Source organism: Homo sapiens, chromosome 12 (genome assembly GCF_000001405.40).
Source record: "Homo sapiens chromosome 12, GRCh38.p14 Primary Assembly".
NCBI classification, from domain to species: Eukaryota; Metazoa; Chordata; class Mammalia; order Primates; family Hominidae; genus Homo; species Homo sapiens.
The window spans coordinates 111,559,612-111,583,899 of NC_000012.12; the positions used below are offsets into that span (position 1 = coordinate 111,559,612).

Genomic DNA, 24,288 nt, shown 5'->3' on the forward strand with positions numbered 1-24,288 from the left:
AAATAGAAAAATTAGCCAGGCGTGGTGGTGCACACCTGTAATCCCAGATATTTGGGGAGGCTGAGACCAGAGAATCACTTGAACCCGGGAAGTGGAGGTTCCAGTGAGCCGAGATCGTGCCACTGCACTCCAGCCTGGGCGACAGAGCAAGACTATCTCAAAAAACAAAAAAAAAAAAACTACAAAAAAAAAAAACACTTAATACACTTAAAATTGTTAAAATGGTATATTACTTATATTGCACCATAATTTAGGAGAAAAAAAACTCACAATCTCTTCCCAAAGAAATTTCATTTGCAACAAGGTATGAAAGAGTTAATGATGCTTTCAAAGGCACTTGGTAGGAGGAGAATCATTGGAGATAAGTGCTAAATTGTAGTTGTCTAGTTTGGTGGCCAGAACTAGGGAAAGAGAGCTGGGAGGACTCCTCTGTGGATTGGAACAAATTTCAAACACTGATCTCAGAAACTATCCCTTCAAAGAAGCGCAAATTTGATCAGATCAGTCTGTGGAGCAGTTTAGGCCCAAAGCTCCACGGAAAACAATGCAGGCCCTCCATATCTGCAGATTTCACATCCTCAGATTCAATCACTCGAGATTAAAAACACTTAAAAATAAATACAATAAAAATAAGACAAATAAAAAATATATAACAACTATTTACCTAGTGTTTACACCATATTAGGTATTATAAGTAATCTAGAAATGACAAAGCATACAGGAGGATGTGCACCGGTATATGCAAATACTGTGCCATTTTATGAGGGACTAGAGCATCCATAAATTTTTATATCCAACGGGGGGGTCCTGGGACCAATCCCCCAAGGACACCAAGAAATGACTACACAGCATCACCTAGTAATTAGTGTAGCTTAACAGCTGGGTACAGTCAGGAAAAGAGACAAAGCCATGCCAAAATCACTGTGATTCTAGAGTGATGGTAGGCATACCCAAGGCTGCATCCCAAGAAAACTAGCATCAGACGTGTCACACTGTACAGGGAGGGAAGAAGGATAGAACACTAAAATCATTCAGCCAGTCATTAGACAAATAAGCAAATAACAGTAACAACCACCACCCCCAACCATAGGCTAATGAGGTATCCAGAGTTACTACATTACTTAAAATGTCCAGTTTTCAACAACAAAAAAAAAAACGACAAGCTAAGACACAGGAAAGTATAACCCCACCCACTGGAAAAAGAAGTAGGCAATAGAAATTGCTTGTATAACCAGATGTCTGACTTAATAAGAATTTCAAAAGTGGTCACTATAAACATGTTTTAAGAACGAAAGAAAACCATAATTAATGCAGTAAAAGAAGGTATGATTGGCCAGGCGCCCTGACTCACGCCTGTAATCCCAGCACTCCAGGAGGCCAAGGCGGGCTGAAACCCCATCTCTACTAAAAATACAAAAACAAAATTAGCCAGGCGTGGTGGCAGGCACCTGTAGTCCCAGCTACTCAGGAGGCTAAGGCAGGACAATGGTGTGAACTTGGGAGGCGGAGCTTGCAGTGAGCCGAGATTGTGCCACTGCACTCCAGCCTGGGCAATACAGCGAGACTCCGCCTCAAAAAAAAAAAATAAATGAACAGTCTCTGGCCGGGCATGGTGGCTCATGCCTTAATCCCAGCACTTTGGGAGGCCAAGGCAGGTGGATCACCTGAGGTCAGAGGTTCAAGACCAGCCTGGCAACATGCTCAAACTCCATCACTACTAGATATACAAAAAATTAGCCAGGCATGGTGGCAGGCGCCTATAATCCCAACTATTCAGGAGGAGGTGGCTGAGGGAGGAGAACGGCTTGAACCCAGGAGGTGGAGGCTGCAGTGAGCCGAGATGGCACCACTGTACTCCAGCTTGGGCAACAAGAGCAAACCTCCGTCTCAAAGAAAAAAAAATCATAAAATTAAAATACTACATAAGCAAATACTCACTTGGCTGGGCACAGTGGCTCACACTCATAATCCCACCACTTCAAGAGGCCAAGGCGGGTGGATCACCTGAAGTCAGGAGTTCAAGACCAGCCTAGCCAACATGGTGAAACTCCACCTCTACTAAAACTATAAAAATTAGCCACGTGTGGTGGCACATGTCTGTAATCCCAGCTACTTGGGAGGCTGAGGCACAAGAATTGCTTGAACTCAGGAGGCGGAGTTCATGCCACTGCAATGCAGCCTGGGTGACAGAGCAAGACTCCGTCTTTCTGTTTTTTTTGAGACAGAGTCTACCTCTGTCGCTCAGGCTGGAGTGCAGTGGCATGATCTTGACTCACTGCAACCTCCACCTCCTGGGTTCAAGCAATTCTCCTGCCTCAGCCTCCCGAGTAGCTGGGACTACAGGCGTGTGCCACCATGCCCAGTTAATTTTTTGTATTTTTAGTAGAGACAGGGTTTCACCATGTTAGCCAGGATGGTCTCGATCTCCTGACCTCTTGATCCACCCACCTCGGCCTTCCAAAGTGCTGGGATTACAGGTGTGAGCCACTGCGCCCGGCCTCGAGACTCCACCTTAAAAAAAAAAAAAGAAAATATGCACTTGCCAGGTACAATGGCTCATGCCTGTAATGCCAACTAATCCAGAGGCTGAGGCAGAAGGACCACTTAAGACCCGGAGTTCAAGACCATCCTGAGCAACTTCGCAAGACCCCATCTCTAAAATAGTTTTAAAAAACAGTCAGGTGTTATGCAGGTGCCTGTAGTCCCAGCTACAGATGGGAGGTTCACTTGAGCCCAGGAGTTTGAGGCTGCAGTGAACTATCATCATGCCACTGCACTCCAGCCTTGGTGACAAAGCAGGACTCTATCTCTTAAAAGAGAAAAAGAAGGCCTGGTGTGGCAGCTCACGCCTGTAATCCTAGCACTCTGGGAGGCTGAGGTGGGTGGATCACCTGAGGTCGGGAGTTGGAGACCAGCCTGACCAACATGGAAAAATCCTGTCTCTACTGAACATACAAAATTAGCCAGGAGTGGTGGCGCATGTCTGTAATCCCAGCTACTCGGGAGGCTGACGCAGGAGAACTGCTTGAACCCGGGAGGCAGAGGTTGCAGTGAGCCAAGATCAGGCCACCGCACTCCAGCCTGGGCAATAAGAGCGAAACTCCATCTCAAAAAAAAAAAAAAAAAAAAAAAAATGTAGACAGAATGATGGAAGAAAAGGGCATCACTACTTGGTAACACCATAGTAAATAACTGTTTCAGGCAAAAGTGTCCACAGAAGCTAAATATAGTAAGGGAAAGTAGAAACAGAGTATTTATATAACCACAAAGTAACTCCCCACAAGATACTGATGAAATGACCAAGTGAAAAATAACTTTATAGTGAAGAAACTTAGTAGACACAACTCTAACCAAGTGATCAAAGTTAACAACCCCAGTAATGGGATAAATATATACAATGCACTTTCTGATATCATGCAATGAGAAAAACACACAAATCATTTCTGTTGTATTCCTGCCAAAAATAAATATCTGAATCTAATCATAAGGAAACCTCAGATAAACCCTAGTTGAGGGACAGTCTACAAAATAACCTGTAATCTTCAAAAGTGTCAAGTCATAAAAGACAAAGAAACTGCTTTGGATTAAAGGAGACCAAAGATACATGATAACCGAAGGTAACAATCCTGGATTGGTTCTTGGACAGAGGGAGTAAATACGTATATTCCACATATATATGTAGAATATATGTGTGTATATATATGTGTATATATATATGTAGAATATACATATTTACTGGTTCTTGACCAGAAAAATGTTGATTTGTTGATTGTTTTAAAGGACATTAGAAGGTCTATAAACAGAATAACAGTTTGACACAATTATTAATTTCCTTATTTTGACAACTGTACTGTGGTTTTGAAATAGAATGCCCTTGTTATTAGTACATACAAGTTGAAGTATTTAGGGCTAAAGAGGCATCATGTCTCTCATATGTTTAATAAGAATTTTTATTTTATATTAAATCTTACATATACAATTACCAATACAGAGAAAATGTTAAGGTGAATATGGTAAAATGTTACTTGAAGAATACAGGTGAGATATATAGGAGAATTCTTTATAATATCTTTGCAATTTTTCTAAAAGTCTAAAATTATGTTTAAGTAAAATGTTTTTAATTGGAGACTATAAGTGATGTGATTTGTTAACTCTATTTAATGCATTGTCCAAGGCATTTTTTAAATAATAATACTTAATCCTACTCAGCCTTGAAACTCAAATGCCATCTTTTCAGGAAGTCTTCCTTCGATTATCTCAATCAAATATACGATGCTGTTTTCAACTCTCCAGTTTAGATCTGTATTATAATTACTAGTGTATCTGTCATATACCCACTACTCAGGACCATCACCTGACCATATTATGCTTCTGTGAAAATCAGAAAATGATGCCTCTTCCAGGGGGTCATAGCCCCACATTAGACAAAACAGTGTGGTCGGCAAGCAGTGTCTTTGTGAAAATTAAAAGAAGGTACCAGAAGCACATAGATATAGCCCCCAAAGGCACATTGTGTGGCCAAAGAAACACCTTGATTTCAACATCCATTCACACTTGGTCAGGAACTCTTGGACAAATGAAAACCTAACAACCAAGCTTGGCAAAAGTATCTTTCTACCACTACCAAAATTAGCAGAGGAATCATGCCTCATATGATACACACTGAGTAAATACCTAATGAATTAACAGCCCAATCAGAACAAGGGAAAGAAAAAAAAAGAAAGTTAAAACTTTCCATTTCAAAGCTATCAATCTTTAAATCAGGGGTCAGGACACTACAGCCCACAACCTGTTTTGGTCTGGCTTCTGGGCTAAGAATGATTTTTATGTTCCTCAAGAGTTGCTTATGGTAAAAGGAATTTGAGGGGAAATGGAAAAAAAAAAAAAGGATATGCAACAGAGAAGCTATATGGCCCTAGAGCCTAAAATACTTATTACCTGAGACTTTACATAAAAAGTTTGCCCATCCTCACACTGAAGAAAAAAAAAAACATAGCTGCAACAGCAATACAACAATTAAAAATCAAGCAGAGCCAGGTGCAGAGGTGCAGCCTGTAGTCTCAGCTACTCAAAAGGCTCAGGTGAGAGGATCGCTTGAGCCCAGGAATTAAAGGCCAGTCTGGGCAACGTTACAAGACCCTGTCTTTTAAAAACTGAAAGATAAAGTTGTTTATTATTTTACATGAATCAGTATTTACTACTTCTGCATGGGGGCATTTCTGGTAAAGACTGGAAAACCTGCTAGACAAATTCTGTAAGAGCTGCAACACTCCAGTACTTCTTTTCTCTTTTGTAGAGATGGGGTCGCACTATATTGCCCAAGCTGGTCTCCAGCTCCTGAACTCAAGTGATCCTCCTACCTCAGCCTCCCAAAGTGCTGGGATTACAGGCATAAGACACCATGCCTAGCCTCCAGTACTTCTAAAATAAACTGCTGGATAGCATTAAATTATTTTCATGAAGTTTTATGTACATATAAGAAATGTCATGAATGTCCCCATATTCTCCTTTAAGTAATGCTTTATATTAAAATTTGAGGTTGATCCACCTACTGAAAAAAAAAACGTATTTTACTAGTGTACATGTGATGGCAATACATGCATACCTCATTTTATTCTGCTTTGCTTTATTGAAATTCACAGATGCTGCATTTTTGACAAGCTGACCGTCTGTGGAAACCCCGAGTCGGGCAAGTCCATTAGTGCCGTATTTCCAGTAACATGTGCTCTCTTTGCGCCTGTGTCACATTCTCATAAATCTCACAATATTTTCAAACTTTTCCACTATTATTGTATACGTTATAGTAATCTGTAATCAGATTGTATTTTACAATAATTGTAAATAATAAAGAAAAGATTGTATTTTACAATTGTAAATAATAATTTACAATTATTATTGTATCTGTTATAGTAATCTGTAATCAGTAATCGTTGATGTTACCCTGATTTCTTTTAAGGCACCACAAACGGTCCATATAAGACAGCAATCTTAATAAATGTTGTGTGTTATGACTACTCCACGAACCAGCAGTCAGCTTGTCTCTCTTTCTCCTCGTGCCTCTCTATTCCCTGAGATATAACAATATTGAAATTAGGCCAATTAGGCCAGGCATAGTGGCTCACACCTACAATCCCAGCACTTTGGGAGGCCAAGGCAGGTGGATCACTTGAAGCCAGGAGTTCGAGCCCAGCCTGGCCAACATCGTGAAACCCCATCTCTACTAAAAATACAAAAATTAGCCAGACGTGGTGGTGGGCGCCTGTAATCCCAGCTACTCAGTAAGCTGAGGCACGAGAATTGCTTGAACCTCAGAGTTGTAGGATGCACTGAGCTGAGATCATGCCACTGCACTCCACGCTGGGAAACAGAGTGAGATTCTGTCTCAAAAAAAAAAAAAAAATTACTTCTCATTGACAAAAAGCTATGATGGGAATGTACAAGGACATAAATGTTTTCATAACTGCTAACACAAGAATCAGTCCATAGCCCAGGGATCAAGGGATAATTTTGACGTTTAAGCCATTTTATTTAAGAAATACGGCCGGGCGCGGTGGCTCACGCCTGTAATCTCAACACTTCGGAAGGCCGAGGCAGGCAGATCACCTGAGATCGGGAGTTCAAGACCAGCCTGACCAACATGGAGAAACCCCGCCTCTACTAAAAATACAAAATTAGGTGGGCATGGTGGTGCATGCCTGTAATCCCAGCTACTCAGGAGGCTGAGGCAGGAGAATTGCTTGAACCCGGGAGGCGGAGGTTGCGGTGAGCCGAGATAGCATGCCACTGCACTCCAGCCTGGGTGACAAGAGCAAAAAAAACTCCATCTCAAAAAAAAAGAAAAAAAAAAAAAGAAATACATTCTGTAAGGCTACTACTGCCATTCATAGCCATTCTCTGATGGCAAAATAAATTGAAAACTTTCTAAAAAGTATTCACCATTCTAGATGCCACTGAGAATGCCATCCATGAGCATGGGAGGAGGTTAAAACATCAACATTAACAGGAGTTTTAGAGGAAATTGCTTTTCTTTTTTTTTTTTTTTAAGATAGAGTTTCGCTCCTGTTGCCCAGGCTGGAGTGCAAGGGCACAATCTCAACTCACTGCAACCTCCACCTCCCAGGTTCAAGCGATTCTCCTGCCTCAGTCTCCCAAGTAGCTGGGATTATAGGCGCCCGCCACCACATCCCCGCTAATTTTTGTATTTTTAGTAGAAACGGGGTTTCACCACGTTTGCCAGACTGGTCTTGAACTCCTGACTTCAGGTGATCCGCCCTCCTTGGCCTCCCAAAGTACTGGGATTACAGGCATGAGCCACCGTGCCCAACCAGGAAATTGCTTCTAATACTCATGAATGATTTTGAGGGGTTCAGGACTTCAGTAGAGCAAGTAACTGCAGATGTGGTAAAAAAGCAAGAGAACTAAAATTAGAAGTGGGGTCAGAAGATGTAACTGAATTGCTGCAATCTCATGATAAAACTTGAATAGATGAGGTGTTGCTTCTCATGGATAAGCAAAGAAAGTGGTTTCTTAAGATGGAATCTACACCTGGTGAAGCTGCTGTGAGCACTGTTGAAATGACAACAAAAGATTATGAATATTCCAGAAACAGGCCGGGCGTGGTGGCTCACACTTGTAATCCCAGCACTTTGCGAAGTTGAGGCGGGCAGATCACGAAGCCAGGAGTTCAAGACCAGCCTCACCAATATGGTGAAACCCCGTCTCTACTAAAAATACAAAAATTAGCCTGGCGTGGTGGCATGCACCTGTAGTCCCAGATACTCAGGAGGCTGAGGCAGGAGAATCACTTGAACCCGGAAGGCAGAGGTTGCAGTAAGCTGAGATTGAGCCACTGCACTCCAGCCTGGGAGACAGAGCGAGACCCCATTTCAAAAAAAAAAAAGAACGTTCCAAAAATGAAATGGCCTGGCACAGTGGCTCATGCCTGTAGTCCCAGCACTTTGGGAGACCAAGGCGGGCAGATCACCTGAGGTCAGGAATTCGAGACCAGCCTGGCCAATATGGTGAAACCCCATCTCTACTAAAAATATAAAAATTAGCCGGGTATGGTGGCGTGCACCCATGGCCCCAGCTACTCATGAGGCTGACACAAGAGAATCGCTTCAACTCAGGAGGCAGAGGTTGCAGTGGGCCGAGATTGGGCCACTGCACTCCAGCCTGGGCAACAGACTGTCTCAAAAAAATAAAATAAATGTACATTTTCGTATGTTTGTCTGTCTTATTCACTGTGTTACTTAATTAACAAGCAAAACAATATACACAAACAATCTAACACATCCTGATAACTGAAAAACATTAAATAATCTAAGAATAAAATTACCTTCCATTATTGTTTCAACAACTGGGGGAGGCCGGGCGCAGTGGCTCACACCTGTAATCCCGGCACTTTGGGAGGCTGAGGCAGGTGGATTATCTGAGGTCAGGAACTCAAGACCAGCCTTGCCAACATGGTGAAATCCCCTCTCAAATAAAAATACAAAAATTAGCCGGGCGTGGTGGCACATGCCTGTAATCCCAGCTACTCAGGAGGCTGAGGCAGGAGAATCGCTTGAACCCAGGAAGCAGAGGTTGCAGTAAGCCAATATCACGACAATGCACTCCAGCCTGAGTGACACAGTGAGACTCTGTCTCAAAAACAAAAAACAAAACAAAAAAAAAAACTGGGGAGAAAAAACATGCAATCTCTATTGGTACTGTCACCATACAATATAATTATAGAGCTTCATGTCTTTTTATTTTTCACCATTCTGCTCATCCATCACCATTTTTCAACACTCCTCCTCTATATGTCCTTCAGTAGTTTCTAATGCTATTTCAACAAGACCTGGGTAACAGATTTTTTTATATAATCAAAATATTTCATTGATCCAGGTTTCTAGAATCAGACTGGTTGTATAGAAGTAACTAATTTTCTTTGGCATAAGGGTACCACATACCTCTAACCCCCTTCCAGTAAAACTGTAAGAATGCTCTTCCCTCCAGCTATTCACATGGCTGCCCCTTTCTTGTTAGTTACCAACTTAAATGTCACCTCCTGAAAGAAGCCTTCTCAAACTACCCCCTCTACAGCAGCTCCCCAACTATTATGTCTACCCGTTTTAATACTTAAGTAACTAATATTTAGTACATCAGTTAGACAATTAACTAAAATCTAGAAATCAAGTTCCACCTCTTAAGGTTAACTCACTTAGGTGAGTCATTTTGTTCTTCCAATTTCAGACTTCTTGTTGTTGTTTACATTATTATTAGAAAGGGAAATCCTATACCACGTATTGAATATTTTCTCCCTAAAAAGTTGAGTCAAATGAGGTGGCAAGAGGGGGTAGGCCATGACAACCCAAACACAGTGAAGCTAGAGTTTTTTTTGTTTTGTTTTGTTTTGTTTTGTTTTTAGGAAACTGAGGTGGGAAGGCAACTCTAAATTCACACAGAACAACTGCCAGATTAATCCGGTCATATAATCATCTAGGATCATTGTTTCAAAACAATTACCATTCACACAAGAACTAATATCAGCATTAATTGCTTGGGTTCAAATTCCGGCTCCATCACTTCTCAGCTCTGTGGCCTTAATCCTGTGACTTCAGCTCTCTGTGTTTCAATTTCAACATCTATGAAATGAAGATGAAAATAGTACCTTCTCAAAAGAAAAAAAATAGTATCTTTTCATAAGGTTGTGGAAATTAAGTAATATTCCATACAGATCGCATAGCTTAAAACAGTGCCTGGTATGTTATTAAGTGTTTAATAACTGCTAGCTAATATAATTATTTCCTCATATTCCAGCATACACTAGAGTAGTAAAGGAGAAAAAAAAGGCCAGTCGCAGTGGCCCACACCTGCAATCCCAGCACTCTGGGAGGCCAAGGTGAGTCCAGGAATTTGAGACCAGCCTGGACAACATGGCGAAATCTCGTCTCTACAGAAAGTTTTAAAAATTAGGCAGGTGTGGTGGCTCATGCCTACAGTTCCAGTTACTTGGGAGCTGAGGTGGGAGGATCACTTAAGCCCAGGAAGTCGAGGCTGCAGTGAGCCAGGATCATGCCACTGGACTCCAGCCTGAGTGACAGAGCGAGACCCTGTCTTAAAACACCACCACCACCACCACACTCTTCATATGAAGTTTTACCCCTTCAGTGCCTTTACCCCTTGAGTCCCTCTAGAGAAAGGGATAAAAGGCTTGGTCATGAAGCCATGAACAACTAGATCCAACCTAGACACACCAAAAAATCCAAACAACTCAGGTAGAAAAGGATCTTAGGGCTCTAGTCCCATGCTGTCCAAGAGAACTTTGTACAATGATGAAGATGTCCTATGTCATGCTGTCCAATATTGCAGCCATTAGGCACATGTGGCAGCTAAGCACTTGAAATACGATTAGTATGGCTGAGGAACTGAAATATTTAAATTTTAATCAACATAATTTTAAATTTAAAGAACCATGTGTGGAAGTAGCCACAATACTGGACAGTGCCCATTCCCATCTTCTCGAGTTCTCCAGACAGTAAGCCACCCCCTTCCACGGCATTCATATCACCTCTGACTTATGCACCAAGAATGCTTCCTGACAGGAAACTCAAGTCTCTCCCAACGATCTACCCGTTGCTCATAAACTTATCCCTTTCTGGAGGCCACAAAACAATTGTATTCCCCTTCAAAAGACTATCAGTGGAGGAGAGGGGAGTATAGCTGAAACAACGTTGGCCATTTACTGATAACTGCTAAAGCTGAGTGACAGGTACATAAGATTCATCCAGCTGTTCTCTTTCTAAATACGTTGAAATTTTACATTTTAAAAACCTTATTAGCGTTTACTTTAAGCTCATTTCATTTTCTAACTGAAACATATTCTTCCAAATGTGTTTCCTTACTTTCAGTGAGGACCCCCTCCAATTCTTCTATCACACTGTGAACCAAATTTTTTCTACATACACCATGTGTATAGCAATCCCTGTACTTTAGCACAAACTCTTCCCGCCTGGAACTTCCTCCTCTCTTCATGGCCTTACTGAAAACTGCTTATCTTCCTTGAAGATCCATCTCAACTCTCATTATTTTGAAGCCCTTTTTCTTCACTGCCCACCCATGGCAGTCCCCTCCCAGTGCTACCAATTTAAACTATCTGCATGCCTGCCTTCTCTACTACACTGGGTAACCTGGAAGCAGAGATAATGTTTCATTCATCTTTGTCTCTGTCCTAGTCTGACAGCATCAAATGTGTAATGAATTAATGAATATACAAACTTAATGAAACGCTAAACTGTAGCCATTCATACTGTACTACCCCAAGCCCATCAATACCACTTTTCAACCTTAACTTGCTGGTGTAGTTTCTACTGGTTTCCAAACATGCTAATAAGAACAGCTAAAAGTTACTGAGCACTTATTACTTGCCAGGCATTGCTTTAAGCGTGTTACATGTTTAATTCATTTAATCCTCTTCCATCCCCTTTTTACAGGGGAAGAAACTTAAGCATAAGTGAAAATAACTTGCCTTACATCACGAAGTATGAAGGAGCAGGGATGCGAATACTAATTGTAAAGTCCCTGCTCCTGTGTACAACAAGGAAGACAAATCATAATCTCAAATGCAAGCTTCAAATCCCAAAATTCAGATTTGGGAAAGGGGATTAGGATGCCAAATAGGAATACTGACCTGTAAAAAGAAAAAGTAACTTTAGGCATTCTCCACAAAACAGTGTGAGGGAAAATGGTAATCTTTTTATTCTTGTAATTTATAGTAAGCTACTACTGAATAAGAAAGCTAACTTGTACTAGACAAAGTTAAGTTCTACAGGAAGTTTTTAATTATTAGAATTAGTTTCATGGAAAATTTGGGCTAGATCTTAAAGGGTAAGTATGAGGATCTCGAATGGCAGAACAATGATGGAGGAGCAAGCAAGAGGCAGACACTGGGCACTGGACCTCCACAAGCAGTGAGGAAGGAGACCATCTTGATTTAAATGGAGGTCATATTTTTGAAGAGTTAATGGGAAACATGATCAGAAAGGTAAAATGGAGTTCTATTAGGGGTCAGCAAATGCCCATGGCCTATTTTCACATGGCTTAAAGCTCAGAATATTTTTTACACTGTAAAGAGCTTTTAGGTCAGGCACGGTGGCTCACACCTGTAATCCCAGCACTTTGGGAGGCAGAGGTGGGCAGATCACCTGAGATCAGGAGACCAGCCTGGCCAATGTGGCGAAACCCCATCTTTACTAAAAATACAAAAATTAGCTGGGCGTGGCAGCATGTGCCTGTAATCCCAGTTACTCGGGAAGCTGAGACAGGAGAATCGCCTGAACCCAGGAGGCAGAGGTTGCAGTGAGCCAAGATTGCACCACTGCACTCCAGCCTGAGCAACACAGCAAGACTCTGTCTCAAAAAAAAAAAAAAAGGGGCTTTTAAAATATGTAAAGAAAACGTGCAAACATACACAAAAAAATGGGACTGTATATGGACTGCAAAGCCTAAAATATTTACTATCGGGCTGGGCACGGTGGTTCACACTGGTAATCCCAGCACTTTGGGAGGCCGCAGCAGGTGGATCACCTGAGGTCAGGAGTTCGAGACCAGCCTGACCAAAATGGTGAAACCCCCATCTCTACTAAATACAAAGAAATTAGCCGAGCGTGGTGGCACATGCCTATAACCCCAGCTACTTGAGAGGCTGAGGCAGGAGAATCACTTGAACCTGGGAGGCAGAGGTTGCAGTGAGCCAAGATGGCACCATTGCACTCCAGCCTGGGTGACAAGAGCAAAACTCCATCTCAAAAAAAAAAAACAAATTTACTATCTGGCCCTTTACGAAGTTTGACAGGCCTTGGATTAGGTCATAGAAAGCTTTGAAGGTAGACTCCCTCAGGCTTGGGAATAGGGTGATTTTTAAGCAGAGGGGTAACCCAACACAAGTAGAGTTGAAGTCTAACAGCAAAAGGTAGGCTAGGTTAAACCCATGGATAAAATTAATGTATCGCAGTAATTAAGAATAAAATGTACAACCTCCTGATATTGTTTGGCCCAAATAAATAACAGCATAGCCAAGAATTTGCCTAAAGTCACAGAGGAAAGGAATTATTCTCTCAACTATTATATTCCTTCCCTCTGGAAGACTAACATGTACTGCTGAAGTCTTGTTCAGTGTCCTTCTAGCCCCAGACTTTGCAGCCTACCAACATGGACTGAGACAGGGAAAGCGTGGGCAAGTGAGTTCCATACTCTAATTTTCCTACAGAAGCATCCTAAGTGGTGTGTGGGTTCTCAGATCAAGTCACAAACACATTCACAGCCCATGATATCGTACAACACTACTTTTTAGTTCAAATTAATTATGAGTAACAACAGACTATCTGCCAAAATAGGGAGCTGCAGAAAACTAACCATCATTTATGATGTTGTTTCCAAATTTCAAAATTTTAAAAAAAAAAAAATTATAAACAAACTTTTTGATTGAAACTCACTGATAGAGAACTGCCAGGACTAAAGCATGGTTGATTGAAGAAATTTTATTGCTGACAATAATCACCGGATTGTTTTCTTCATTATTGTTATTATTTTTATTTATTTATTTATTTATTTTTTGAGACGGAGTCTTGCTTTGTTGCCTACGCTGGAGTGCAATGGAGCGATCTCAGCTCACTGCAACCTCCACCTCCCAGGTTCAAGCGATTCTCCTTGCCTCAGCCTACTGAGTAGCTGGGATTACAGGTGCTTGTCACCACGCCTGGCTAACTTTTTTGTATTTTTAGTAGAGACGGAGTTTTGTCATGTTGGCCAGGCTGGTCTCAAATTCCTGACCTCAGGCGATCCACACGCCTCGGCCTCCCAAACTGCTGGGATTACAGGCATAAGCGACTGCTCCCAGCCTTCTTCACTGATTTTTACTTGTTTTTGTCATATCTCTATATTAGAAGCAATGGAACAGTTATTAAAAAGCAAAGACTTTGAAATCTCACAAGGTTAAAAATCTCAGCTTTGTCACTTCCTATCTCTTTGACCTAAAGGCAATTTCCTTAATTTCTCCAATCCATCACTTCCTCATCTGTAAAACAGATATGGCACTACCAGCCTGACAGGCTGGGCTGTTGTAAGGCTTAAAAGATATACAAGTAATGCTCTTGGCACAGCTCTCCTGAAACCTAATAGGCACACAATAAATGGTATTTTATGACATAACATTTATTACCTAAATAAAATGTTCATCTTTTCACATCATAGATAGCTAAATGTGTTTTTTCTTTCTTTTTTTTTTTTTTTCCAGAAAAAATGGCCACTACTACCACTTGGCTCAGAAATGCTAGTCTTTATTTTCTGAAATGTTTTATATAGAAAAAATTTAATAATAAATAGACATTCTTATATATTTCCTTACCATTTTAGATTGGGTTAAAAAGTATGGAGACTTCCGGCCGGGTGCGGTGATTCAAGCCTGCAATCCCAGCACTTTGGGAGGCTGAGGCAGACAGATCATGAGGTCGGGATCTGTGGCTAACACAGTGAAACCTCATCTCTACCAAAAATACAAAAAAATTAGCCGGGCGTGGTGGCGGGCACCTGTAGTCCCAGCTACTCGGGAGGTGGAGGCAGGAGAATGGCGTGAACCCGAGAGGCAGAGCTTGTAGTGAGCCAAGATCGCACCACTGCACTCCAGCCTGGGCGACAGAGCAAGACTCTGTCTCCAAAAAAAAAAAAAAAAAAAAAAAAAGGTATGGAGACTTCTTATAGCATTTATAGACTATGAACAACTAAATTCCCTGAATTCCGTATCTGTCACAAATGTAAATTCCTCATTTTCTTTTCTTTTTTTTGGCGGTGGGGGGATAGGGTCTCACTCTGTCGCCTGGGATGGTATACAGTGGCGCAATCATAGCTCACTGCAACCTCCAATTCCTGGGTTTAAGTGACCCTCCTGAGTCAGCCTCCCAAGTAGCTGAGACTATACGCATGCACCACCATGCCCAGCTAATTTATTTTTGTAGAGATGGGGCCTCACTATGTTGCCTAGGCTGATCTTGAATTCCTGAGCTCAAGCGACCCTCCTCCCTTGGCTTCCCAAAGTGCTAGAATTACAGGTGTGAGCCACTGTGCCCAGCCAAAATTCCTCATTTTCTTTTCCGTTTTTCATACTGTTGAAGTATAGTCCTTCACCCAGAGAAGCTAGTGACTCAAGTTCCTGGTTGATTAAAAGAAACTATTAATAACATTTTTTAATACCATCACTAGTTTTCTTTCTTTCCAGAGATCCAAAATACAATGATAGTAACTCATCTCTGCCACCTTCTGAGTGAATTTGAATAGGTCATTTAACCTCTCTGGGCCTTCATTTCCTCATGGGTAAAATGAGGACAGGATAACAGATTATCTAACAGGGCTATGTGGTAATCACATGAGATTATGTATGCCCTGGGAGAATAAACTCACGGTAGCGTCCGGTTCACTCAATCCTGTTTCCCTCCCTTTTTAATTATGACCCTAATCAATTTTTCAAGCTGAGGTCAGAAAGCTTCTCAAACATACTTATTTCTGGGCATAGCCAGTGGCTGTCCCTGAAGCACTAAAAAGAACAAGACCCTTAGCAACATACCAGACTGCTGATAAGAGGGGCTGGAGCGCAGTGCTGTGATCATAGCTCCTGCAATCTTTAACTCCTGAGCTCAAGCAATCCTCTCGCTTCAGCCTCGTAGTAGCTGCGACTACAGGTGTGTGCTGCCATCCCCCATTAATTAAAAAATATTTTTTGTAGAGATGGGGTCTTGTTATGTTTCTCAGCCTGGTCTTGAACTCCTGGCCCTTCCCATTTCAGCCTCCCCATGACGTGGGGAGGTTTACAGACATGACCCAGGCCCATTCTTCTGATTTTGTTTTCCTCTTCATCTAAAAGAACTCCTTTCAAGATTTTATGAGACAGAAGTAAACATCAGCATCTCAAACACCTCAATGCCATAAGGTGGCAGGGGCAATGAGAACTTTCTGCCTAGTCTATACTACCACATAAGCTCCAAAAAGAGAGAGACCTCATCTGGCTTATTCACTACTGTATTCCCAAGCCTCACAAGCAGGAGGTACTCCAAAAATAAAAAAAGGGGAGGAAATTAAACGTGGTATGCCTATAAATGCCATGCTTTCTACATGACAGGGTCAACTACTACTGCTTAATAATAAAACCAATAGTCAGCCAGGCGCAGTGGCTCACGCCTGTAATCCCAGCACTTTGGGAGGCCAAGGCGGGTGGATCATGAGGTCAGGAGTTCCAGAACAGCCTGGCCAAGATGGTGAAACCCTGTCTCTACTAAAAATACAAAAATTAGCCAGGCACGGTGGTGGGCGCCTGTAATCCCAGCTACTTGGGAGGCTAAGACAGGAGAATCACTTGAACCTGGGAGGCGGAGGTTGCAGTAAGCCGAGATCATGCCGCTGCACTCCAGCCTGGGCGACAAGAGACAAACTCTGTCTTAAAATAACATAACATAACATAACATAACATAACATAACATAACATAACATAACATCACACCAAACCAAACCAATAGTCTGGCCGGGCACCACGGCTCACACCTATAATTCCGCCACTTTGGAAGGTCGAGGTAGGCGGATCACTTGAGAATAGGAGTTTGAGACCAGGCTGACCAACATGGTGAAACCCCATTTCTACTAAAAATACAAAAATTAGTCAGGCACGGTAGTGCACGTCTGTAGTCTCAGGTACTTGGGAGGCTGAATCACCTGAACACAGGAGGCGGAGGTTGCAGTGAGCTAAGATTGCGCCACTGCACGCCACTGTACTCCAACCTGGGCAACAGAGTGAGACTCCATCTCATAAAAATAAAAATTAAACCAACAGTCACATATTCAACAAATTATTATTATTATTTTGAGACACAGTCTCACTCTGTCACCCAGGCTGAAGTACAGTGGCACGATCTCTGCTCACTGCAACCTCTGCCTCCCGGGTTCAAGAGATTCTCCTGCCTCAGCCTTCTGAGTCACTGAGACTGTAGATGAGCCACGCACAAATGGCCAATTTGTGTATTTGTAATAAACACAGGGTAGGCCAGGTGTGGTGGCTCACGCCTGTAATCCCAGAACTTTGGGAGGCCGAGGCGGGCGGATCACAAAGTCAGGAGTTCGAGACCATCCCAGATAACACGGCGAAACCCCATCTCTACTAAAAATAAAAAAATTAGCCAGGCATGGTGGCGGGCTCCTGTAGTCCCAGCTACTTGGGAGGCTGAGGCAGGAGAATGGCATGAACCTGGGAGTCGGAGGTTGCAGTGAGCCGAGATCACGCCACTGCACTCCAGCCTGGGCGACAGAGCGAGACTCCGTCTCCAAAAAATAAATAAATAAATAAACAAACAAACAAACCCAGGGTTTCACCACGTTGGCCACGCTGGTCTCGAACTCCTGACCTCAGGTGATCTGCCCGCCTCGGCCTCCCAAAGTGCTGGGATTACAGTCGTGAGCCACTGCGCCTGGCCACGACAAGTTAATTGATAACTTACTAAGCATACAAAGTTGTACAAAACACTTGTTCCTACTGTCAAGATGCTCTAAATCTAGAAGGAAGATAATGCAAATATTTCCAAACAAGTCAGATCGCAAATAAACACATGCACCGCATGTTTCAATTATTTATTTATTTATTTATTTATTTTGAGACAGAGTCTCGCTCTGTTGCCCAGGCTGGAGTGCAGTGGCACGATCTCGGCTCACTGCAAGCTCCGCCTCCCGGGTTCACGCCATTCTCCTGCCTCAGCCTCCCGAGTAGCTGGGATTACAGGCGCCCGCCACCACACCCGGTTAATTTTTAGTATTTTTAGTAGAGACGGGGTTTCACCGTGTTAGCCAGGATGGTCTCGATCTCCTGACCTTGTGATCCACCCGCCTCGGCCTCCCAAAGTGCTGGGATTACAGGCATGAGCCACCGGGCCCGGCCCGCATGTTTCAATTAACAACAGACCTATATACAATGATCAACCAGTAAGTTAAGGTAAATTTACTCTTAAAGAAAGATATTTTTGACCAGGCGTGATGGCTCACACCTGTAATCCCAGCACTTTGGGAGGTCAAGGTGGGCAGATCACTTGAGGTCAGAGGTTAAAAGTCTTAACTCCTAACCACAGTGAACTTTCTGTCTGCAGAAAAGAGCATTGGTCAACAGTTCACAAAACGGCTAGGCATGATGGCGTGCACCCACAGTCCCAGCTACGTGGGAAGCTGAGGTGGGAGGATTGCTGGAGCCCAGGAGTTCAACGCCCTGGGCAATACAGCAAGACCTCATCTCTGGCCAGGTGCGGTGGCTCACATCTGTAATCCCAGCACTTTGGGAGGCCACGGCGGGTGGATCACCTGAGGTCAGGAGTTCGAGACCAGCCTGGCCAACATGGTGAAACCCCCGTCTCTACTAAAAATACAAAAATTAGCCAGGTGTGGTGGCACGCACCTGTAATCCCAGCTATTCAGGAGGTTGAGGCAGGAGAATCGCTTGAACCCAGAAGGCAGAGACTGCAGTGAGCCAACATCACGCCACTACACTCCAGCCTGGGCGATAGAGCGAGACTCCATCTCAAAAAACAAAATAAGAAAGATATTTATCAATTTAGTGTATCCTAACTGTTCAGTGTTTGTCTACAGTAGCATACAGTAATGTCCTAGGCCTGCACATTCACACACCACTGATAAATGACTCATCCCAAGCAACTTCCTGTCCTGCAAGCTCCATTCATGGTAAGTGACCTATTCAGATATACCACTTTTATCTTTTACGCTGTATTTTTACTCACCTTTTCTATGTTTAGATATGTTTAGATTCACAAATACTTAACATTATGTTACATCTGCCAACAGTGTTCAGTACCGCAACATGCTATACAGATTTGTAGCCTAAGAGTAATACTCTGTACGACAGCCTATGTGTCTAGTAGGTATACCATCTAGGCTTGTGTAAGTAAACTCTATATTTGTACAATGATAAGATCACCGAAAAAATTTCTCAAAACACATCCCCATCATTAAGCAATGCATAAACATAGTTTCTCATCACCAAAGATGGTATGAATGTCAAATAAACACATGAAAAAATGCTCAATATCACTGGGCATTAGGGAAATGCAAATTAAAACCACAATGAGGCCAGGCACAGGGGCTCATATCTATAATCCCAGCACTTTGGGAGGCTGAGGTAGATGAATCACTTGAGCCCAGGAGTTCAACACCACCCAGGGCAACATAGTGAGACCTCTTCTCTACTAAAAATCAAAGCAAACTACCAGGTGTGGTGGTACATGCCTGTGGTCCCAGCCAGGAGGCTGAGGCAGGAGGATCACTTGAGCCCAGGAGGTCAATGTTGCAGTCAGACAATATCGCACCACTGCACTCCACCCTGGGTGACAGAGCAAGACCCTGCCTCAAAAAAAAATTCATACACTGCTAGGGAAAGAAAATATAGCAGTCACTTTAGCAAACAGTTTAGCAATTACTTTTAAAATTAAATAAACACTCACAGGATTATATGTACCCTGGAAAAATAAACACTTGCCACAAAACCCAGCAATCTCATTTCTATGCATTCCAACCAAGAGAAATAAAATCATATGTTCACACAAAACCTGTACATAAATATTCATACCAGCTTTATTTATTTATTTTTTTGAGACGGAGTTTCACTCTTGATGCCCAGGCTGGAGTGCAATGGTGCAATCTTGGCTCACCACAACCTCTGCCTCCCGGGTTCAAGCGATTCTCCTGCCTCAGCCTCCTGAGTAGCTAGGATTACAGGCATGCGCCACCACGCCTGGCTAATTTTGTATTTTTAGTAGAGATGGGGTTTCTCCATGTTGGTCAGGCTGGTCTCAAACTCCCAACCTTAGGTGATCCGCCTGCCTCGGCCTTCCAAAATGCTGGGATTACAGGCGTGAGACATCGCACCCGGCCTCCAGCTTTATTTTTAATAGCCAAAACCTGCTAACTCAATGTCCACCACTAGATGAACAAACTGGTACATGCATACAATAGACTACTACTCAACAATAAGCAGAAAGAAACTACTAACATGCAATAGTACAGACGACCTTTTTTTTTTTTTTTTGAGATAAGAGTCTCACTATGTCACCCAGGCTGGAGTGCAGTGGCGTGTTCTTGGTTCACTGCAACCTCCTCCTCCTGGGTTCAAGTGATTCTCCTGTCTCAGCCCCCCCGAGTAGCTGGGATTACAGGAGCGCGCCACCGTGCCTGGCTAATTTTTGTACTTTTAGTAGACACAGGGTCTCACCATGTTGGCCAGGCTGGTCTCGAACTCCTGACCTCAGGTGATCCACCCACCTCAGCCTCCCAAAGTGCTGGGATTACAGGCGTGAGCCACTGGGCCCAGCCAGAGATAAGGTCTTGCTGTGTTGCCCAGGGCCTTGAACTCCTGGGCTCCAGCGATCCTCCCACCTCAGCTCCCCAAGTAGCTGGGACTATGGGTGCACGCCATCACACCTAGCCATTTTGTGAACTGCTGACCAATGCTCCTCTCTGCAGACAGAAAGTTCGGTGTGGTTAGGAGTTAAATGGGAAGAAAGAGGAGGCTGGGTGCAGTGGCTCATGCCTGTAATCCCTCCCAACACTTTGGGAGGCCAAGGCAAGAGTTTCACTTGAGCCCAGGAGTTTGACACCAGCCTGGGCAACAGAGCAAGATCCTATCTCCGAAAAATTAAAAATAAGAAAAGTAATTAGCCGGACATGGTGGTACACACCTGTAGCCCCAGGTACTCAGCAAGCTGAGGTGGGATGATGGGATGATTGCTTGAGCCCAAGAATTCGAGGTTACACAGTTACAGTAAGCTATGATCGTGCCACTACACTCCACCCTGAGCAACAGAGGAAGATTCTGTCTCCAAAAAAGAAAAAAAAAAAAAAGATGACAACGGAACGGGAGGTGGGTGTAGTCCCAGCTACTAAGGAGGCAGAATCATCTGGGCTCAGGAGTTCAAGGTCAGCCTCAGCAACATAAGGAGACCCTGTCTCTTAGGAACAAAAGGGGAGGGGGAGAGAGAAGGGGAGGGAGGGGGGGAGAGAGAAGGGGAGGGAGGGAGGGAGAGAGGAAGGGTTGGGAGAGACAGAGAAAGAAAAAGAAAGGAAAAAATAAAAAGGAGAGAAAGGAAGGAAAGAAGGGAAGACAGGAGGAGGCAGCGGGGAGGGGAAAAAAGGAGAGGAGGGATGAAGAGAAAGAAAGGAAACGACAAAGAAAGGCCAGGCATGGTGGCTCATGCCTATAATCCCAGCACTGGGAGGCCGAGGCAGGTGGATCACCTGAGGTCATGAGTTCGAGACCAGCCTGGCCAACATGGTGCTACCCCATCTCTACTAAAATACAAAACCTAGCCGGCTGTGGTGGCAGGTGCCTGTAGTCCCAGCTACTTGGGAGGCTGAGACAGGAATAGCTTGAACCCAGGAGGTGGAGGTTGCAAGGAGCCAAGATTGCCCCACTGCACTCTAGGCTCGGCAACAGAGCGAGACTCCATCTCAAAAAAAAAAAAAAAAAAAGAAATGTATTAGAAATAAAAGTACATCAGATTCTAATGCCAGTTATGCAGCCAATGATGAGATACTCTGGTAAATAACCCTCTTGGTCTCAATTTCTTCACCCGTAAATAGAATGAGTACTAAAAAACCACCAGAGCCAGAGAAATCCAAACTACCAGGGAAAGGGAGGGGCCCACTGAGAACCACCCCAGCAACCCGACCACAGCTGGTCTTCCCTGGACACCATGAACCACAATGTCCAAACCTCTTCACTCCTGCCAACATCGGCCATCCCCCTAACTATGAGATGCTCAAGGAGGAGCAAGAGGTGGCTGTGCTGGGGGCACCCCACAACCCTGCTCCCCCAATGTCCACCGTGATCCCCATCCACAGCGAGAACTCCGTGCCCGACCATGTCGTCTGGTCCCTGTTCAACACCCACTTCATGAACTCCTGCTGCCTGGGCTTCATAGCATTGGCCTACTCCGTGAAGTCTAGGGACAAGAAGATGGTTGGCGACCTGATCAGGGCCCAGGCCTATGCCTTTACCGCCAAGTGCCTGAACATCTGGGCCCTGATTGTGCGCATCATTACGACCATTCTGCTCAGCATCATCCCAGTGTTGATCTTTCAAGTCTATCAACAGATCAGGAGGCATTATCTAGGCCAGGAGCTCTGCCCGTGATCTGATTCCCATGTACTCCATCCACCCTCCATTCCTCGCCCTGCCCCCAGAGCCAAGTTCTCTATCAGCCGTTTATCCTCACACACTTTTCTACAATGGCATTCAATAAACTGCACGTGTTTCTGGTTTAAAAAAAAAAAAAAAACACCAGAGCCATTCCAACTCCAAATGCGTTTGACTCTACATTGTTGAACATCTACTATGTGCCAAGAACAGAACATAAGAAGAATTTAGGCTGGGTGTGCTGCCTCATGGCCTTAATTTCAATACTTTGGGAGGCCAAGGCAAGAGGAGTACTTGAGGGCAGAAGTTCAAAACCAGCCCGGGTAACAGTGAGACTGTCTCTACAAAAATTTTTTTAAATTGTAGGGCGCAGACACTTTGGGAGGCGAAGGCGGGCAGATCACTTGAGCTCAGGAGTTTGAGACCAACCTGGGCAACATGGTAAGACCCTGTCACTACTAAAAATACAAAAAATTAACCAGGCATGATGGCACACACATGTGGTCCCAAGCTACTCAGGAGGCTGAGGCAGAACTGCTTGAACTCGGGAGGTGGAGGTTAGAGTGAGCAGAAATTGCACCACGCACTGCAGCCTGGGTGACAAAGCGAGACGGTGTCTCAAAAAAAAAAAAAGAACTGCAGGGTGTGATGTTGCATGTGCCTGTGGTCCCAGCTACTCAGGAGGCTGAGGTGGGAGGATCACTTGAACCCAGGAGTTAAAGGCTGCAATAAGCCATGATCACAATACTGTACTCCAACCTGGGCAATACAGCAAGATCCCATCTCAAAAAATAAATACATAAAAACAGAAAATATTAAGACTTTAGTATCTCAGTTTTTTTGTTTGTTTGTTTGTTTGTTTGAGACGGAGTCTCGCTCTGTCGCCCAGCAGGCTGGAGTGCAGTGGCACCATCTCCGCTCACTGCAAGCTCTGCCTCCCGGGTTCACGCCATTCTCCTGCCTCAGCCTCCCAAGTAGCTGGGATTACAGGCGCCCGCCACCACGCCTGGCTAATTTTTTGTATTTTTAGTAGAGACAGGGTTTCCCCATGTTAGGCAGGACGGTCTCGATCTCCTGACCTCGTGATCCACCCGCCTCGGCCTTCCAAAGTGCTGGGATTACAGGCACGAGCCACCGCGCCCGGCCAGTATCTCAGTTTTTTTTTTTGTTTGTTTTTTTTTTTTTTTTGGAGACAGAGTCTCGTTCTGTCGCCCAGGCTGGAGTGCAGTGGCACAATCTTGGCTCACTGCAACCTCCACCTCCTGGGTTCAAGCGATTCCCCTGCCTCAGCCTCTCGAGTAGCTGGGACTACAGATGCGCACCACCATGCCCAGCTAATTTTTTCTATTTTAGTAGAGATGAGGTTTCACAATGTTGCCCAGGTTGGTCTCGATCTCCTGACCTCGTGATCCACCCGCCTCAGCCTCCCAAAGTGCTGGGATTATAGGCGTGAGCCACCGCGCCCAGCCAAGGAAGATATTCTTTCTCTTTTAATAGGTAAATAAACTAAGCCTGAGAGTGGCTGAGTAACTTGCCCATTCAAACATGTGACCAAGCAGTTAAGTGCCAACCATTCAAGAAATAGGGATACAATCAATAGTGAACAAAACAAAGTTCCTGCTTTCATAGAGCTTAAATTTTAGTTACTGAAGAGTGAACCATGGCCAGGCACGGTAGATCATGCCTGTAATCCCAGCACGTTGGGAGGCCCAGGTGGGCGGACCACCTGAGGTCAGGAGTTCAAGACCAGCCTGAACAACATGGCGAAAACCCCGTCTCTACTAAAAATATAAAAATTAGCTGGGCATGGTGGTGGGTGCCTGTAATCCCAACTATTCAGGAGGCTGAGGCAGGAGAATCACTTGAACACAGGAGGTGGAGGTTGCAGTGAGCCAAGATCGCACCATTGCACTCCAGCCTGGGCAACACAGCAAGACTCCGACTCAAAAAAAAAAAAAAAAAAAAAAAACAGTGAACCATGATTCCAGCTTAGACTGGAGTTGCCAGATAAAATACAAGATGCTCAGTTAAATTTCAACTTTAGATAAATAACTTTTTTCTATGCAATTTAATACACA

At 43.8% G+C, this 24,288-nt stretch overlaps 1 protein-coding gene, 1 non-coding gene and 1 pseudogene across 6 annotated transcripts in view, besides 2 other annotated features; 1 reads left to right on the top strand and 2 right to left on the bottom strand.

Annotated features, from left to right (window-relative positions):
* ATXN2 (ataxin 2) overlaps nucleotides 1–24,288 on the bottom strand; it is a 147,460-nt gene that overhangs the window by 107,398 nt on the left and 15,774 nt on the right. The window lies entirely within an intron of this gene.
* LOC124903094 (U7 small nuclear RNA) lies at nucleotides 5,210–5,272 on the bottom strand. The gene has a single exon (XR_007063618.1). It is a non-coding gene; the product is annotated as a U7 small nuclear RNA (small nuclear RNA).
* Nucleotides 10,956–11,153: a silencer, noted in NCBI's record as "fragment chr12:112008371-112008568 (GRCh37/hg19 assembly coordinates)". NCBI's record gives its function as "represses an EF-1alpha promoter that drives an FKBP-Casp9 reporter gene in an ReSE screen in HepG2 liver carcinoma cells {active_cell/tissue: HepG2}" and the evidence as "EXISTENCE:reporter gene assay evidence [ECO:0000049][PMID:32094911]".
* Nucleotides 18,614–18,673: a silencer, noted in NCBI's record as "silent region_4869". NCBI's record gives its function as "represses an Ori minimal core promoter by ATAC-STARR-seq in GM12878 lymphoblastoid cells {active_cell/tissue: GM12878}" and the evidence as "EXISTENCE:reporter gene assay evidence [ECO:0000049][PMID:35858748]".
* Nucleotides 21,721–22,334, top strand: IFITM3P5 (IFITM3 pseudogene 5; annotated as a pseudogene).